The 18,163-nt window shown below is 45.1% G+C and overlaps 1 protein-coding gene across 2 annotated transcripts; it reads right to left on the bottom strand.

Moving 5' to 3' along the window:
* Nucleotides 1–8,864: 8,864 nt before the first annotated feature.
* Nucleotides 8,865–16,212, bottom strand: SIGLEC14 (sialic acid binding Ig like lectin 14). Of its 2 annotated transcripts, NM_001098612.3 has the most exons (7): nucleotides 16,110–16,212; nucleotides 15,644–16,027; nucleotides 15,169–15,447; nucleotides 14,864–14,917; nucleotides 13,166–13,423; nucleotides 12,924–13,059; nucleotides 8,865–12,784 (listed from the first exon to the last, which is right to left on the bottom strand). In NM_001098612.3, the coding sequence occupies exons 1-7, from the start codon at nucleotides 16,144–16,146 to the stop codon at nucleotides 12,742–12,744; spliced, it is 1,191 nt and encodes a 396-aa protein (NP_001092082.1). In that variant the 5' UTR covers nucleotides 16,147–16,212; the 3' UTR covers nucleotides 8,865–12,741. The 2 variants fall into 2 exon arrangements, with proteins under 2 accessions (NP_001092082.1, XP_047293947.1); XM_047437991.1 differs by lacking the exons at nucleotides 8,865–12,784; nucleotides 12,924–13,059 and having other exon boundaries at nucleotides 13,320–13,423; nucleotides 15,206–15,447.

An 18,163-nucleotide genomic window follows, 5' to 3' on the forward strand; every position in this document is an offset into this window, starting at 1 on the left:
GAGGTGATCACCCCTCAAATGATGTTTCAGTCATGAGTGAGATCCTCAGGGGGCTGAATGCAGAAAGAAAAGAGAAACAAGGGCTTGTCCTGGTGATGAGGTGAGATGTCAGAACCACCCTCCACCTAAAAACCATGAAACATTCTGGAAATACATAATTTTAAATTTGATTTTAAATGTTCAAAGTGACCAGGCATGGTAGCTCATGCCTGTAATCCCAGCACTTCGGGAGGCTGAGGTGGGAGGGTTGTTTGAGCCCAGGAGTCTGAGACCAGCCTGGGCAACATAGCAAGTCACCATCTCTACAAAAAATAAAAACTATTAGCTGGTGTGGTGGCACACCTATAGTCTCAGCTCCTCCGGGGCACTGAAATAGGAGAATTCCTTGAGCCCAGGAGTTTGAGGTTGCTGTGAGCCGTGATCGCACTACGGCATTCCAGCCTGGGCAACAGAGTGAAACCCTGCCTTAAAAAAAAAAAAAAAAAAGTTCAAAAGGGCTGAAAAAAAATTTTTTTGACCCAAATTTCGTGGAGGGTCAGAGCATGAGAGAGCTGAAGCACTCTTATGTTAAGAAGATTCTTGGGACACAGCACAGTCCACTTTGGGTCTTGATGGACCTGAGGGTCTTGTGGGACGGCAGTGAAACACAAGCCCTGCTAAAGCCTCATCCTATTAAGGAGCTACAGAAGCAAATTTGCCACTGTGAGGCTGATGAAGCTCAATCTTCAATGCCCTCCCTTGCAGGATCCACTTTTCAGATGCCCAGGAGGGGCCCACGCAATGTGTGGAAATAACCTGCCTTGTTACTGCTCTTTTATGAAAGAAATTTCATAATAGTTTCCCAAAATTTAACAATATATTAAAAATTTTTCACATTCCGATTAATGTGTTGTGAGAATAAAGACAGTTTCTTAAACTATCAATGATCAAAACAAACGTCAACCACCCATGCCAGAAGAAATACCGACTTCTCTTTCTATTCTATCTATAAAAATTGTATTATAAAATTATTCTCCAATATTGGCCGGGTACAGTGGCTCACATCTGTAATCCCAAGCACTTTGGGAGGAGGAGGCGGGTGGACCACCTGAGATCAGGAGTTCGAGACCAGCCTGGCCAACATGGAGAAACCTCCTCTCTACTAAAAGTACAAAAATTTAGCCAGGCATAGTGGCGCACACCTATAGTCCCAGCTACTCCAGAGGCTGAGGCAGGAGAATCACTTGAACCCAGGAGGCAGAGGTTGCAGTGAGCCAAGATCACGGTACTGCACTCCAGCCTGGGTGACCAAGTGAGACTCTGTCTCAAAAAGAAAAAAATTATCACCATTATGAAGGCAATCAAAGAAAATCAGTCAAAAATATAGGGAAAAAGTATGCAGGTGTAGCAGACAGGTAGACTATACTATTAACAAACATAGTATGCCATTTTTCTGAGTTGTCTCATATTTTGACATTTTAGATTTTGTGATTTGATGTGTTTTCTCAGTCCAAAAATCATCCTATGTGTGCCAAATTTTGTATTTTTGTATTTTTTTTTCTAAAGAGTCACAAAGACTCTCTTCTTAACCAAACTTATGAAAGCTCCTCTGAACCCTTTTTTCAACTAGGCTTTGTCCTTGGGACTGCCTTGTCCAGCTGTAGCAAGAATCCTGCTAAGTTGGTTTTGCAAGACTCTTGATATCTGATCGCCTTCACTATCTGATCAAATTCCCTAGCCCTCACCCTTGGTATCTGATCATGCTGGCCTGCTTTCAGCAAGAATCCTGTTAAGTCAGTTTAGAAAGAATCCCGGTATCTTCAGTGTCTCCTCTTAGTAGTTTTCCGTCCACTAACACACACGGCCAGCCTCCCTCACCTGCTGCACTATGCTTCTTGCCCATAAACCCCCCTGGTCTTTGCTGTATTCCGAGTTGAGCCTGACCTATCTCCATTATTGCACTAGTCTTTTTTTTTTTTTAATTGACTTCTGTTTTTTTCTTCTGAGACGGGGTCTCACTGTGTTGTCCCAGCTGGAGTACAGTGGTGCAACCTTAGCTCACTGCAACCTCCCCCTCCCAGGTACAAGCGATTCTCCTATCTCAGCTTCCTGAGTAGCTGGGAGTACAGGTGCATGCCACCATGCCCAGCTTATTTTTGTATTTTTAGTAAAGATGGGGGTTTCACCATGTTGGCCAGGCTGGTCTCGAATGCCTGACCTCAGGTCATTTCCCTGCCTTGCCTCCCAAAGTGTTGGGATTACAGGCATGAGCCACTGTGCCTGGCCTGCACTAGTCTTGATACCTGTCTCAGTCATCCTGAATAGTCAATGTTAACAGGTGTCAGAATAATTTTTTCTTTTTTCTTTTTCTTATTGCAAATTCTGAACTTTATTCCTCATTTGAACTGTGAAAGTAATTCATCATACCGGCTAGTAGGATCTAAAGATAAAGACTTGATTATGTAGGAAAATGGTATTTTTATCTTTATATTAAAATCTTAATATTAAATTCCCTCTCCTAAAATACATAGTATGGCTTCTGTTTTCACATCAGCCTTAACTAATTAAATCTCAAGAGATGAATAAGTGAGCATTGGGTGATTTCAAATCCCTTTATGATATAATTCATAGCCAACTAGAAATTCTCTTTAGAGAATTTCCCAAACAAGATAAAGGGTGTCTTCAGCAAACATCATATACCTAATGAAGTAGCTTCAGGTCCTAGCATAATAAGGCAATAAAAATAAGCAAAAGGTACAGCAATTACAATGAAATTTTAACAGAGGTCTTTATCAATGACATGACTGCACATATAGAAAAATCCAGGCTAAGCGTGGTAGCTCACGCCTGTAATCCCAGCACTTTGGGAGGCTGAGGCAGGCGGATCACGAGGTCAGGAGATCAAGACCATCCTGGCTAACATGGTGAAACCCCATCTCTACTAAAAATACAAAAAATTAGCCGGGCGTGGTGGTGGGCGCCTGTAGTCCCAGCTACTCGGGAGGCTGAGGCAGGAGAATGGTGTGAACCTGGGAGGTGGAGCTTGCAGTGAGTGGAGATCACACCACTGCACTCCAGCCTGGGCGACAGAGCGACACTCCATCTCAAAAAAAAAAAAAGAAAAATCCAAAAGTATATACGGATACATTTGAAGCCTTAATAAAATATTTGCAAGACAGCCAGAGATTAATCAAATTACAAAATCAGTTGTCTTTCCACATCACAGTAATAAAAATGGAATTTTATAAAAATGCCATTGACAAAAGCTTCAAAAATTATGATATAATTTATCAATATCAAAAAATATGATATAATTTTTGAATATATGGAATATATCTAACTATTAGAGATGTATCTAACAAAAATATGTATATGTCACCTCTATGGAGGAAATTATAAATCTGTATTCAAGGACATTAAAGATGTAAATAGGCTGGGCGCAGTGGCTCACGCCTGTAATGCCAACACTTTGGGAGGCCGAGGCGTGTGGATCACCTGAGGTCAGGAGTTCGAGACCACCCTGGCCAACCTGGTGAAACCCCATCTCTACTAAAAATACAAAAATTAGCTGGGTGTGGTGGCAGGCACCTGTAGTCCCAGCTACTCAGTAGGCCAAGGCAGGAGAATCACTTGAACCTGAGAGATGGAGGTTGCAGTGAGTCGAGATTGCACTATTGCACTCCAGCCTGGGCGACAGACCAAGACTCCGTCTCAAGAAAATAAATAAATAAAAAATAAATAAATCAAGATGTAAATAAACTGAAAAAGAGGCCATGTTGATGAGTTTGAGAACAATATTGTATGAATGCCAATTTTACCCAACAATCTACAGCATCAAAGGAATATGTCATACAATCTCCCGGGTGATTTTTGTGCAATTTGGTAACTCTATTGTAAAATTTATACTGAAGTAGAAATGTTCAAGTATGGTCAAGGCAACCATGAAGAACAATGAATGGCTTTGCAAGATAAAAAGATGTATCATAACATTACAGAAAATATGACCATTTCAGACGGGGCACAGTGGCTCACATCTGTAATCCCCGCACTTTAGGAGGCCGAGGCAGATGGATCACTTAAGGTCAGGAGTTTGAAAGCAGCCTGACCAACATGGTGAAACCCTGTCTCTACTAAAAAATAACAAAAATTAGCTGGGCATCGTGGCATGTGCCTGTAATCTCAGCTGCTCAGGAGGCTGAGGCACAAGAATTGCTTGAACCCAGGAGGTGGAGGTTGCAGTGAGCTAAGATTGTGCCACTGCATTCCACCCAGGGTGACAGAGTGAGACTGTCTCAAATTTTTAAAAATGTGAGAAAATAGGCCCATTTCAATGGTTCACACCTGTAATACCAGCGCTATGGGAGACCGAGGCAGAAGGATTACTTGAGCCCAGGAATTCAAGACCAGCCTGGGCAACATGGTGACACCCCATCTGTACAAAAAACACAAAAATTAGCTGGGCATGGGTGGCTCATGCCTGTAGTCTCAGCTACTTGAGAGGCTGAGGTGGGAGGATCACTTGAGCCCAGGAGGTGGAGGTTGCAGTGAGCCAAGATTGCAGCACTGCACTCCATCCAAGGTGACAAAGTGACACAGTGAGACCTTGTCTGAAAAAAAAAAGTGACAATTATGTATTGACCAAGTGGAACAAAATTGAGTGCCTGGAAATAGACCTCAACCACAGGAAACATCAAGTGTGATAGAGGAAGTGGCAAATAATAAATTTTTCTTTTTATTTATTTTGGGTTTTTATTTATTTAATTTTTTTTGAGACAGTGTCTCTGTCACCTAGGATGGAGTACAATGGTGTGATCAGGGCTCACCACAGTCTCTATTTCTCTGGGCTCAGGCACTCCTCTCATCTCAGCCTCCCAAATAGCTGGGACTACAGGAATGCACCATTATGCTTGGCTAATTTTTTAATTTTTTGTAGAGACAGGTTCTCACTATGTTGCCCAGGCTGGTCTCAAACTTCTGGGCTCAAGCGGTCCTCCCACCTCAACCTCCCAAAGTGTTGGGATTACAGGCATGAGCCACTGGGCCCGGCCAACTTTTCAAAAAATATCTGTGGGCAAAACTTAATGCAATCAAGTTTGCAGTAAGTTTGCAATGAAATTTGACTCCCAGCTCATGCATAAAAGTCAAGTACAGGTAGCTTGAAGGTCTAAATATGACAAAGAAAACAATAGAGCTGTTAGAAAATAATATAGCAGGAAATCGCCATGAATTTGAGGTAGGTAGGATTTCTGAGCAAAACATAAATAACACTATTTATTTATTTGTTTATTTTTATTATTTATTATTATTTTTTTTGAGACAGAGTCGTGCTCTGTCACCCAGGCTGGAGTGCAGTGGCGTGATTTTGGCTCACTGCAACCTCCGCCTCCCAGGTTCAAGCGATTCTCCTGCCTCAGCCTCCGGAGTAGCTGGGACTACAAGCACACCCCACCACGCCCAGCTAATTTTCGAATTTTTAGTAGAGACGGGGTTTTACCATGTTGGTCAGGATGGTCTCGATCTCCTGACCTCATGATCCACCCACCTTGGCCTCCCAAAGTGCTGGGATTACAGGTGTGAGCCACCACGCCCAGCCAATAACACTATTTATAAAGAGAAAGATTGAAAACTTGACCCCTGGCCCAGACACTGAGCTCTACCTCTCTGAGGTCTTGCCTCCACAGGACCTGCACATCCAAAGGTCTTTTCTCCCCAGGACCCTGACATCCTACTCCAGCTCCCATAAGCCATGCTAAGGAGGCTGATTCTCTCCATGTTTCTCTGGCTTCCAAAGGGGAAAACTGAAGGGCACCTGCAGAGCACCTGAAGCCCAGAAGTAAAGGTGACCACTGAGACAAGGAGTGAGGTAGCAGTCATGGGTCTCAGGTCCCTGAAAGGAGAAGGCAGCACCTTTTTGAGAGAAGGTAATGGGTGTTTCCTCTCCATTTGGCTCCAGGGTCCCTTCGGAGTGATGAGTAACTCCATGTGTGGTCCCACCCTCATCTCCACCTCTTGTTGCTCACTCTTGGAGAACTTGTGCCCCTGTCACTCTCACAGTGACTCCTTAGGTAAAAGGTTTATGTTCTACCACATCCTCTTAAGATATATCTCCCACTAACTCCCATCTGGAATCCCCCAGTGCTCAGAGAAGAGTTATTGTCCTGGGAGCAACTGAGGAGGTGACATTGATCTTGGGAATTCTATTTTTTATTTTCACCCTCTCTTTGTGATCGATCACTAGAGAACAGTTACCACGTGCCTGGCTGCAGTGAGTTTTAGGATTCCAGGATCCCAGGTGTAGGAGAATGTACAAAACATTAGGTCACTTGTTTCCTTGGGTGAGAGACAGAGATACCTGTAGGGCCAGCCCCAAACCCCACCTGGTCCTCTCAAGCATTTGTCCCACTCAACACTAGAGGCATCTCTCAAGCTGGAGATCCCAGATCTTGCCCTGGGACAGCTTCATTCCCCCAACCCCCATCCTCTGTGCTGTCTATTAAGTGCAAGAAACAAATGGGGTGAGAGAAGAGGAAATTGCAACCAGAAGCCACAAGATATAGACAGAAGGGCAGAAAAGGAAATTTCCCCACAGCCTCTACCAGGAAATCTGGGCCCCAAGGGCAAGGAAGAGGCCAGGCTGGCCCACCTCAGGGGCACAATGCCCATTCTAATAAAAGTAAAGTAACACAAAATACAGAATTGGATGTAAGAAGGAAAAAAAGAATTGAGGTAAAGAAATTACCATTTTCACATTCAAGAAGGGCTACAGAGTTTGCCTCAAGAGAAAAGTGTGTATATAGTTTATCACTACTTTGTTTTCAAATTAAACTGGTGATAATATTTTTTATTGAGGTGAAATTCAGACGAAAAAATTACTAGTGGTAATTTTGGATGTATAAACTTTTGAAGGATGAGGTGAAGAGGAAGCTAAAATGATGCTGGATAAAAAAAGGAAGATGAACGTTAAGGCTCCCCCTTGTGGAGGATAGAGAAAGCATTTTTAAAAGTTCTGGATTCAGTGGCAATGAGATGAGGATTTGGGGGATGACCTCTTGGACTCAACAACGTGGTACTAGGACACAAAATCCAGTGAAAGACTTTCTGTGGTGGGGATGAATGGTGAATTTTTGCAACACGATGTCTAGCATCCAATTTAACCTACTTCTTATCCTGAAGAGCCATTCCTTTCTGCTGCTCCCAAACCTTGAATGAAGAGTGCTACCCAAAATATACTTGTACAAAGTGCTGGGAAAGGCAGGAAAGAAGTCTTTGTTCTCACGTTTGGGGAAGGGATACCAGCTTGCATATGTCAATCACCCATCACCCTCAGGAACTCTCCCACATATTGTGGTAAGTTGGCAGCTTTGGGTTCTCTGTGATTATTAAGCATGAGAGATCCAGTTACTTTCTGGGGATCTTAAAATCTGAACAGGATGCAAGATTTGGGAATTACTGGTTTGTACCATCAAAACTTAAATCTGCTCTTAAACTCTTGGAATATATCAGCCTGGTGCAGTACAATTTTAACAAATTCAAAGCAGGAGAGGAGGAGCTGAGAACAAAGTTACAACCTGTGACTGAGTTGATGGTATGATAAATTGAGGCAGGAATTATGTGGAGGCAATTATGAAGGACTCCAACTAGGAGAGGTGTGGACTGAGAGAACACCCTGGTAGCTATGAAGTCTTTACTTTTGATTGGGCATCCATTGGATAGATATATTCAGCTTACATTTCTATTATATTTGATTGAAAGTGTTGACAAAAAAAAGTTTTATTTTGGTAAAATAATGCATAACACAAATTTTAACATTTTAACCACTTTTAAATGTATGGTTCAGTGGCACTGAATATATTCATCTTGTTTTACAACTGTCACAACCATCCATTTCCAGAACTTTTTCATCTTTCCATACTGAATCTGTGTACTCATTAAACACTGACTCTCCATTTCCTTCTCATCCCAGCCCTTAGCAAGCGTCATTCTACTTTCTGTATCTATGCATTTGACTATCTCAGTATCTCATATAAGTAGACTCTTATGACATTTGTGCTTTTCTGTCTGGTTTATTTCACCTAGCATAATGTCTTCAAAGTCATACACATTAAAGCATTTGTTAGAACTTCATTCCGTTTTAAAGCTGAATAAGATTTTATTTGATGCATACTACATTTTGTTTCTCCATTTATCCACTGATAGACATTTATGTTGCTTCCATGTTTTGGCTATTGTAAATAATGCTGCTGTGAACATTGGGGTACAAATATCAGACTCCCTGCTTTCAATTCTTTGGGGTATCTACTCAGAAGTGGAATTGTGGAATTGCTGAATTACATAGTAATTACATGCTTTGTTTTTCGAGGAATTTTCATACCATCTTCCATAGTGACTGCACCATTTTACATCCCACCAGCAATGCACAAGGGTTTCAATTTCTCCAAATCTTCACCAATATTTGTTATTATCTGGTTTTGTTTTGTTTTTTAATAGTGGTCATTCTAACGTGTACGAAGTGGTATCTCATAATGGTTTTGATTTGCATTCCTGTAATTATTACTGTTTATAAAATTGTATAAGTATTTATGTGTTGGAAATTATAAATTAGTTTTCAATATTTCAATATTGAGAAGTGTTAAAATAATATGAACTTACTCAACTTACCTTTCAAAATTGGAAGATCTAGCACTCCCCTTATGACAGTGATTAACTGGGGATGAACAAGAACTGCCTCTTTTACTTTGCCACACTTTCTATTCTGTACTTTGGTGGTTCAAGCTATCTCTTCCAATGAAAATTACCCAAACAATAAAGAGGGGAAAAACATAGGATGGAAAAGATAAATTGTCTCAGTCCATTTGGGCTGCTATAACAAAATACCTTAGGCTGGGTGATTTATAAACAACAGAAATTTATTTCTCATAATTCTGGAGGTCGGGAAGTCCAAGATCAAGGTGCCAGCGGATTCAGTGTCTGGAGAGAATTATTTGCTTCCCAGATAGTATCTTTTCGTGGTATCCTCACATGGCAGAAGAGGAAAACACACTTCCTTCTGTTTCTTTTATGAGAACACTAATCCCATTCATGAAGGATGGCACCATTATGGGTTAATCACTTTCCAAAAAGCCCCAACCTTTTAATACCATCACCTTGAGGTTTAAGATTTCAACATATAAATTTTGGGAAGACACACATTTCTATTATAGCATAAATAAAGTATATCAAGAGTTAAAGCATATAGAAAAAAAGCAAATATTGCACTCTCTTTGCTACATGCACTTAGGGAAATTAAAAGAAAAACACCTGAAGTTTATAAAAGTTAAATTCATGAAAAAGAATGAAGAAATTATAAAAGCAGCAAGACATAAACAGATATTGCCTTAAATGGAACCACAATAAGAAAATGATGACTGAATTGTCATGAGAAACTCACCCGCCCTCCAAAGTGGAATGACATCTCCAAAAGGTTAAAAGAAAAATGCAAAGCTAGAATTCTACATTTTGGAAAATTATCCTTCAAAACGAAAGAGAAGGAGTCGTGCTTTTATTATGAAGGAGTAAGCTCCTAGCAGAGTGAACTCACCACAACACAACAAAACAAACAAACAAAAAATCCTTACAAGTTATAAGCTTTGAATGGGGAAAAAAAACTACTTGGGAAATGGGATAAAAGAAAATAGATTCTGGAACGGGAGTCAATATTTGGGGAAAGGCACCAACAAGGAATAAATAGCTTTATTCCAATGGTAGGTCAGAGCTACAGTGCAGAAAGTGGCTGCTAAAATTCTAATACAACTCCTTCCATCTTTCTGGACTGAGAAACAAGGGATGAAGCCCAGGGCAACTAGGAACACTGAAACAACAGGTAACAATTCTGGAAAGGGAAGAGCTAGGGAAAAGGAACTCCAGCTTCTGAGTATAAATGCTTTCCATTTCAAATATAATGAGGTGAGGCTAGGACTTAAAGGATGTGAAAATGCATACTATGCAAATACTAGTCAAAAGAAAACTGGAATGGCTATGTTAATAGCAGACAAAGTACACTTAAGAGCAAAGAAAATCACAGGAACAAAAAGTGATGTTACATAATGTAAAACAGTTGATTCAGCCAACTGCGGTGGCTCACGCCTATAATCCCAGCACTTTGGAGGCTGAGGCGGGTGGATCACCTGAAGTCAGGAGTTCAGGACCAGCCTGACTTACATGGTGAAACCTTGTCTCTACTAAATACAAAAAAAACTAGCCAGGCGTGATGGTGCGTGCCTGTAATCCAAGCTATTTGGGAGGCTGAGGCAGGAGAATCACTTGTACCTGGGAGGCGGAGGTTGCAGTGAGCCAAGATCGCGCCATTGCACTCCAGCCTGGGCAAAAAGAGCGAAACTCTGTCTCAAAAAAAAATTTTTTTTAAGTTGATTCTTTAAGAAGACATGAGAATTCTTAATATGTATGCACCTAACGACAGAGTTTAAAAATACATGCAGCAAAAACTGATGAAACTGAGAGGAGAAACTGACAAATCCAACATTAGGATCAGAGACTTCAACATTCCTCTCTCAGTAATAGACTGAGCTGGTAGACAAAAAAGTTACCAGCTATAAAACTGAACACCATTGGACAACTATGTCTAATTGCCATTTAATATTCGTCCCATAACAGGGCAATACACATTCTTTCTAAGCACACATGGAGCATTCACCAAGATAGACCAGTGTCATCAAGCAAACTTAACCAATATAAAAGACTCTCACGGTTGGTGAAAGTGAAAGTTAGTTCAGCCATTGTGGAAGACAGTGTGGCGATTCCTCAAAGACCTAAACATAGAAATACCATTCGACTCAGCAATCCCATTCCTAGGCATATACCCAAAGGAATATAAATCATTCTATTACAAAGACACATGCATGCATACATTCACTGCAGCACTATTCACAATAGCAATGACATGGAATCAACCTAACTGCCTATCAGTGGTAGACTGGATAGAGAAAATGTGGTACATATACACCATGGAATACTAAGCAGCCATAAAAAAGAATGAGATTATGTCCTTTGCAGGGACATGAGTGGAGCTGGAGACCATTATCCTCAGCAAACTATCACAAGAAGAGAAAACCAAATACCACATGTTCTCACTTGTAAGTGGGAGCTAAATGATGAGAACACATGGATACATAGAGGTGAGCAACACACACTGGGGCCTTTCAAAGGGTGGAAGGTGGGAGGAGGGAGAGGATGAGGAAAATAACTAATGGGTACTAGGCTTAATATCTGGGTGATGCAATAATCTGTACAACAAACTCCCATGACACTTTACCTATGTAACAAACCTGCACTTGTGCCCCCTGAACTTAAAAGTTAAAAAAAATCATATCAAGCATGTGTATTTATTAAAATGGAACTTAAAAAGAAAGTAGTAACAATTTGTTTAAAAATAAAAAACCAGTAAAATCTGCAATCACTTAGAAATTAAACAACACACTTCTAAGCAATCCGTGAATTCAAAGGAAATCTCAGGGGAAAGAAGGAAATATTTTGAACTAATATAAAAATACAACATAACAAAACTTTTGTGGTGCAGCAAAAGTGATTAAAGGGAAAATGCAGAACCAGTGGATACAGAAGGCTGACTGTACGATATTAAAAGCAAAAAAAACCCCACCAAAACTGAGAATGAGCTATTGATACGTGTAACAACGTGGATAAACTGGGAAAACCACACTGAAGAAATGAAAGCAGACCCTAAAGCAAATATGTTTGGTTCCAGTTATACGATGCACAGAACCTGACAATACAGGTATTGCCTTCTTGTATATGGACAGAAGGAGAATCACTTGAACCTGGGAGGCAGAAGTTGCAGTGAGCTGAGATTTTGCCATTGCACTCCAGCCTGGGCAACAAGATAGAAACTCTGTCTCAAAGAAAAAAAAAAAAGACATAATTTTTGTCTACAAACTCTCACAGAGGCATTAAAGAGTAAAATCAGTTATGTTGTATTGTTTCATAAAAGTTTTACTTATTTTGTAACAATTGTATTGGATAATAATCACAATGAGGTAGAGTTTTAACTGGAAAACAAATGCTGCCTCTCTGTGCCTATATGGATAGGGAAGCTGAGGAGACCAGAAATTCAAGTGTTAAGAAGGTAACTTTTGGCAGCCAGGCACGGTGGCTCATACCTGTAATGCCAGCACTTTGGGAGGCCAATGCAGTGGATTGCTTGAGGTCAGGAGTTCGAGACCTGGCCAACATGGTAAAACCCCATCTCTACTAACATACAAAAAAAAAAAATTAACTGGATGTGGTGGCAGGCACCTGTAATCCCAGCTACTAGGGAGGCTGAGGCAGGAGAATTGCTTGAACCCCAGAGGTGGAGGTTGCAGTGAACGGAGATTGTGCCACTGAACTCCAGCCTGTGCAACAGAGTGAGACTCTGTCTCAAAAAAAAAAAAAAAAAAAAAAGGTAACTTTTGGGTAATGGGTAATGGGGGTATAAGACCGAAAGTACATTCCCTTCACAGGGCTGGAGATGGTGGATGGAGAGGGAAGAGAAGGGCAGGTGGAGAGGGGATGGGGTGCAGATGGGGATGCAGGTGTGGTGGGGCAAGACTCACAAGCAGAGGGGAATAAGTAGAAGGGGTATGGGGCAGGAAGGAAAAGAGGGGTAGTCAGTGGGATGTGAGCTTCCAGAAAGAAGCTGACAGTGATGTCCTGCATGTGTCCCACAGGGCTAAGTGTCCACACCTCAGTTCTGTCTTGAGCGGGAGGGGCTCAGCCAGGCCTCTCAGCCCTGCTCTGCTGGGGGCCTCCACACCTGCAGAGCCAACATGGGCCTCAGATCAGCACCAGCCACTTCAGTTCTAATTCCAGGTGGGGCTGAGCTGTCCTGGGGCAGGACAGCTCAGCCCCACCTGGAACTCAGGAGCTTCCTGGAGACAGGCAGTCCGGCTCACCTGGTATAGTAGATCCAGGTGAGGCCATAGGTGAGGAGGAAGCCAGCCCCCATGAGAGCCCCCCTGATCAGGGTGAGGACGAGGGGCCAGGAGCCCTGCTGTTTCTCAGTTACACATATGCAGGAAGAGGAGCTTCCTGGGAGAAAGGAGAAGGTAAGGTGCTGTTACCAGGCCTCAGTCCCTCCCACCAACCTGAATACCTCACCGGGCTGTCTACCCTCAGCACCTGTCCTGCAACTCACTCTGCACAGAAAGGATGAAGGACAGGTGCTGGGAGCCCAGCGGATGCTGAACCCGGCAGGTGAATTCCCCTCCCTCTCTAGCTCCTATGTTAGGCAGCTCCAGGGTCCCAGACATTGAGGTCTGGGAAGGATTGAGGGCTTTTCCCTCCCGGAACCAGCTCAGTGAGGCAGGGGGGTTGCTGTCAACTGTGCAGGCGAGGAACAGGGACTGGCCCTCCTGGATGGGCACCGACATGCCATTGCTCAGGATCCGCAGGGCTGGGAAAGAGAAGCACAGCCAGGTGAGTGGAGCTGGGAGGCCCAATTCTCCCTCATTCCTCCCACTGAGCTGCAAGAAGAAAGACAAGACTGTGTGGTGAGTGCTGAGAATGGGCTAGTCATGGGTGAAAGGATGAGGACTTGGTGATCAGGTCAGGCTACCAGAAAGAAGGTGGCTGAGCTGAGAAAAGACAGATGAGGAGGAGTTCTCACATTAAGGAGAAGTGGATGGGCAGCTCAGGTGCAGACGTGCCAAGAACTGAGACAGGCAGACGAGGAAAGAGGCTCCTAGATCCGCAACCTGTCAGGGAGGACCCAGAGCTCCCAAGACACGATAATGGAGGTAGAAGCAGGCTCAGATCTTTTGGAGCATTGGGTGCCAGATTGAGGGCCTTGGGCTTTATCCTGGAAAGCAAGAGGGGGCTATAAGCAAGGGAAACAGAGTTAGCACTGGATCTAGAAAGATCCTGCTGGAGCCAAGTAGGTCCCGGACTGGAGAGAAGTGGGATAGGAGGCAGGGAGGCTGGGAGGAGGCTGGGGCAATGGGCCAGGGTTGAGCACGAGACTTGAGCTGGGCCTGGAACCAAGGGGATGAGGAGGGAAGTGATGATTGGTGAAGTAAAGGTGTTAAGACTTGCGGACTCATGAAACAGCTGATGAGAAAGGGTGCTGTCTACAGCGATGTCCAGAACAGCCCTGGGATCAACAGGGAAGGAGGAGCCGAGAAGCATCCGAGGGAGGTGGCTAAATGTGCAGATCTGTGCCTCAGAGAAAGGGCTGGATATAAAGTTGTGGGAGGCATCAGGACAGGGTCAAGGAGAGATCGGATTACTCAGGAATGTGGAGGGGAAGAACTGGGTTCTGGGACAGAGCTGTGGGAGGTGGGAAAGTCGAAGGCTCCCAAAAAGGACGATCAGTTAGAGATGAAGCAGGGCATGCATCAGAGGACATCGGAGCAGGCAGAAATTCAAGAAAAGGGAACAGCGTGTCCTGAGTACTCAAACTCACAGAGACAGAAAAGTAGAATGGTGACTGCTCGGTGGCAGGAGGGGGAAGTGGAAAGTCGCTGTTCAGTGGGTACAAAGTTTCAGTTTTGCCAGATAAAAGGAGCTCTGCAGTTTGGTTTTGCAACAATGTGAACACATTTAACACTGCTGAACTGTACTCTTTAAAATGGCTAAGATGACAAATTTTGTGCTATGTGTATTTTCTCACAATGAAAAAATAAATCTGAAAAAGAGAGCAGAGAAAAGGGAGAAGCCAAAAGAAATACTAGGTCTGTTCGTGCAAGATCTTAGTGACTGGGATTGGGGGGTTGGGAGCAGGAAGGACCCAGACCCAGGGGCTGAGGGGTGAGGGAGGGTCTCCTCTCCCAATGCTGAACCCTGAGCTAATAGAAGGCTCCCATCACAGCCCCAGAGGGAAGAGGGTCTTTCCTACCTGTGCCTGTGCCATTTCTGAAGAAGATGCTGATGGCGAGGTTCTGTGGAGCATCTGGGATAGAAAGATACAGCACCAGCTTCAGAGGTGACAAGAGGGATGGGCGTGGTCCCGGGAGGGACCCAAGGAGGGGCCACAGAAACCCACCAGGTGGGGACCGCTGTCCTTCCTGCCCACACACGAGTTTTCCCTGGTTATCATTCTCTTTCTCTCTCTCTCTTCTACACACACACACACACACACACACACACCCCCCTCACTCCCACTGCCCTTGGGGACTCAGCTGTGTCCCCAGCACCACTCACAGGAGACATTGAGCTGGACAGTTCTCTCCGTGGTCACCTGAGCTCCTTGGCGTTTCACCTGACAGGTGAGGTTGGTGCCATGGTCCTCGGGCCTGGGGGTGAGGGTGAGCTCCGAGGAGCGGGTGGTCTCGGGGTCCAGGGGGCTGAGGGCATTCCCCGTCCAGGAGAATGTGAGAGGTGGTCCCGCTTCACAGGATCCTGGAAGGCTGCAGCTCAGCCTTGTGGGGCGGCCGGACTCCAGAGGCTCCAGAAAGTGGATGTCGGGTTTCTCTATCAGGGCTGAGGAGGAGACAGGGAGATACCTGGGCCCCAGGGGCTTGAGGACGTAAGGTGTGACCCCGAGAGTGGCCAGGCCTCAGGCCCCGACCTGCCCCAAGTCCTACACCTCCTCCAGCCGCCCCTGCCCAACTCCTGTCCCTGTTCTCATACGGGGGTCTCCACGTCCCAGGGTCCTCTCCTAGGGTTCCTGCCATACCTGTCACCTCCAAGTTCAGCTTATTCTGTTGGTAGCTATATTTTACATCCCTTCCTCTCTCCACGCGGAAGAAATAGCTTCCCGTGTCCTCCATTCTGGCATCTCCGATGCTCAGGGAGCAGTTCTTCTTCTGGACATCCCCAAGGAGGCGGAATCGGCCCTGGGTCTCTGGCTTCACTCTTCTGTCTGGGTTGTTTGTGGCCACAACCTCAGCGTAGTATGGGATCTCCCCGTCCCGGAACCAGTAGACGTAGAGTGGGGGAGAGGAATACCAGGATCTCCAGGGGTAAGAGAAGGAGCAGGGCACAAGGACGCACAGGCCCTCCTGCACCGTCACCGACTTCTGCACTTGCAGCTCGTACACTGGCTTCTCCTGCAGGGACCCTGGGGGGACACAGAAGCTCAGCTGCAGCTCCAGCCCCCCTTCTCACCCCTGTGCCTGTCCCTCCTCCCTCAGCTCACTCACCCCCCCACAGCAGGGGCAGCAGCAGCAGGGGCAGCATGTCTCCATCCGCCAGGGCCCCAGCCCAGTCCCAGGTCCGGCTGTCAGGGAAGGAAATGCTCCAAATGTCCAAACGTGGGGTGGGGCTGAGAAAGCCCCGACAGGAAGCCGGAGGGTGAGTGAGAGCTGTGGACGCGCACAGAAGGGGAACTTGGGCATCACGTGCTGTTGGGGTGAGGCTGGGGCTGGGAAGCCATTCTGCTCCCACCCCCACTGGACGCCGATGGTGAAGATACTGAGGCCCCCAGAGGGGCTTGTCCAGACTTGTAAGTCTAGACTCCTGAGGTCACCAGGTCCCATAGCTGCAGCACTTTCCTTATGCACCTTTGTCTACATAGGAAGGAGAACACCACTTGGCCAGCTCCCTGGGAGTCAGGGCCTCGGGACCCTCAGCGAGATGGGAGAATAAATCCTTTATGACATGATAGGAGCTGTGGTGAGGGAAGCACACGCTGGGGGTTTCAGGTGGGGAAGACTTTCCTCTTTCCAGAGGGAAGGCAAGTTGTCAGGGACAAACACATCAGGTGGACATGACCGGGTCCTTAGCAGTCAAGAGAGATGTGGTCCCCACCACCAGTTGGATTTGGGAACCTCATCTCATCCTTGTCCTTGTCCCAGGCAGCGTCAGACCCCATCCCTGATGTTGACAGCCAGATGAGGCTTGAGAGCCGGGCATTTGAAATGTGAACGTTGAGGATATGGAATACCAAGTGTGAACCCAGACCCCTCACCTACCGGCTGTTGAACTTTACAAAAGTTACCTACCCTCTCTGTGCCTCAGTTTGCTCAGCTGAAAAATGCAGACAATAATAGAATTGCTGTGTGGGGATTCAGTGAGGTCTCATGTGTAAAGTGCTTAGGACAGTGTCTGGCCCCGAGAATTCACTCATTCAACTGATGCTTCATGGGCGCCTATGGTGCACCAGGCCCCCTGTTTTAGGAGCTGGAGATACAGCAAAGGATAAACTCTTAGGATGAGAAGGTAAGTCAAAAATCCTAGTGGGGGCTCCTCTGGGCACACTGCTTATGCATACCCCTGCTCCACGAAGAACAGTAAAAAAAGAAGGCCGGGCGCAGTGGCTCACGCCTGTAATCCCAGCACTTTGGGAGACCGAGGCGGGTGGATCACGAGGTCAGGAGATCAAGACCGTCCTGGCTAACATGGTGAAACCCCGTCTCTACTAAAAATACAAAAAATTAGCCGGGCGTGGTGGCGGGCGCCTGTAGTCCCAGCTACTGGGGGGGCTGAGGCAGGAGGACGGCGTAACCCGGGAGGTGGAGCTTGCAGTGAGCCGAGATCGCACCACTGCACTCCAGCCTGGGCGACAGAGCGAGATTCCATCTCAAAAAAAAAAAAAAGAAAAGAAAAGAAAAAGAGAAAATAAAATAAAAATCCTAGAGGGAAGACAAACATTTAATATGAAATTAAAATACACAGTCTGCTAAAGAATAATATATTCTAAGAAAAAATAAAAACAGGAACACAGAAGAGGAATCAGTGAGGACTGATAATTTTTTTTTTTTTTTTTTTTTTTTTGAGACGGAGTTTCGCTCTTGTTGCCCAGGCTGGAGTGCAATGGTGTGATCTCAGCTCACTGCAACCTCTGCCTCCCAGGTTCAAGCGATTCTCCTGCCTCAGCCTCTCAAGTAGCTGGGATTACAGGCATGTGCCACCACACCTGGCTAATTTTGTATTTTTAGTAGAGATGGGGTTTCTCCATGTTGGTCAGGCTGGGCTCGAACTCCCGACCTCAGGTGATCCGCCCGTCTCAGCCTCCCACAGTGTTGGTATGACAGGCATGATGATAAAATTTTTTACAGCATGGCTTGGGGGGCCACTTGGAGGAGATGACATTTGAGTAAAGATGCGAAGGGCGTGTGGGAATGAGTCCACTGGTATCCATTCCAAGGGAACCGCACATTTAAAAGTCCCAAGGTAGGAACACACGTGGTGTGCTTGGAAAATAGCCATATGCCAGCATTGAGGGGTGATCAGTGGGGAAGATGGTAGGAGGGTA

The sequence above is a fragment of the Homo sapiens genome, chromosome 19, assembly GCF_000001405.40.
Source record: "Homo sapiens chromosome 19, GRCh38.p14 Primary Assembly".
In the NCBI taxonomy this organism is placed as follows: Eukaryota; Metazoa; Chordata; class Mammalia; order Primates; family Hominidae; genus Homo; species Homo sapiens.

Excerpts from the sequence above, each read along its gene's own strand:
- SIGLEC14 (NM_001098612.3), bottom strand. The coding sequence starts at position 16,146 with ATGCTGCCCCTGCTGCTGCTGCCCCTGCTGTGGGGGG. Across the intron at positions 14,918-15,168 it reads TGTCCAGCTCAATGTCTCCT|ATGCTCCACAGAACCTCGCC; the intron begins GTGAGTGGTGCT and ends TTTCTATCCCAG. Across the intron at positions 13,060-13,165 it reads CTTCATCCTTTCTGTGCAGA|GAAGCTCCTCTTCCTGCATA; the intron begins GTGAGTTGCAGG and ends CCTTTCTCCCAG.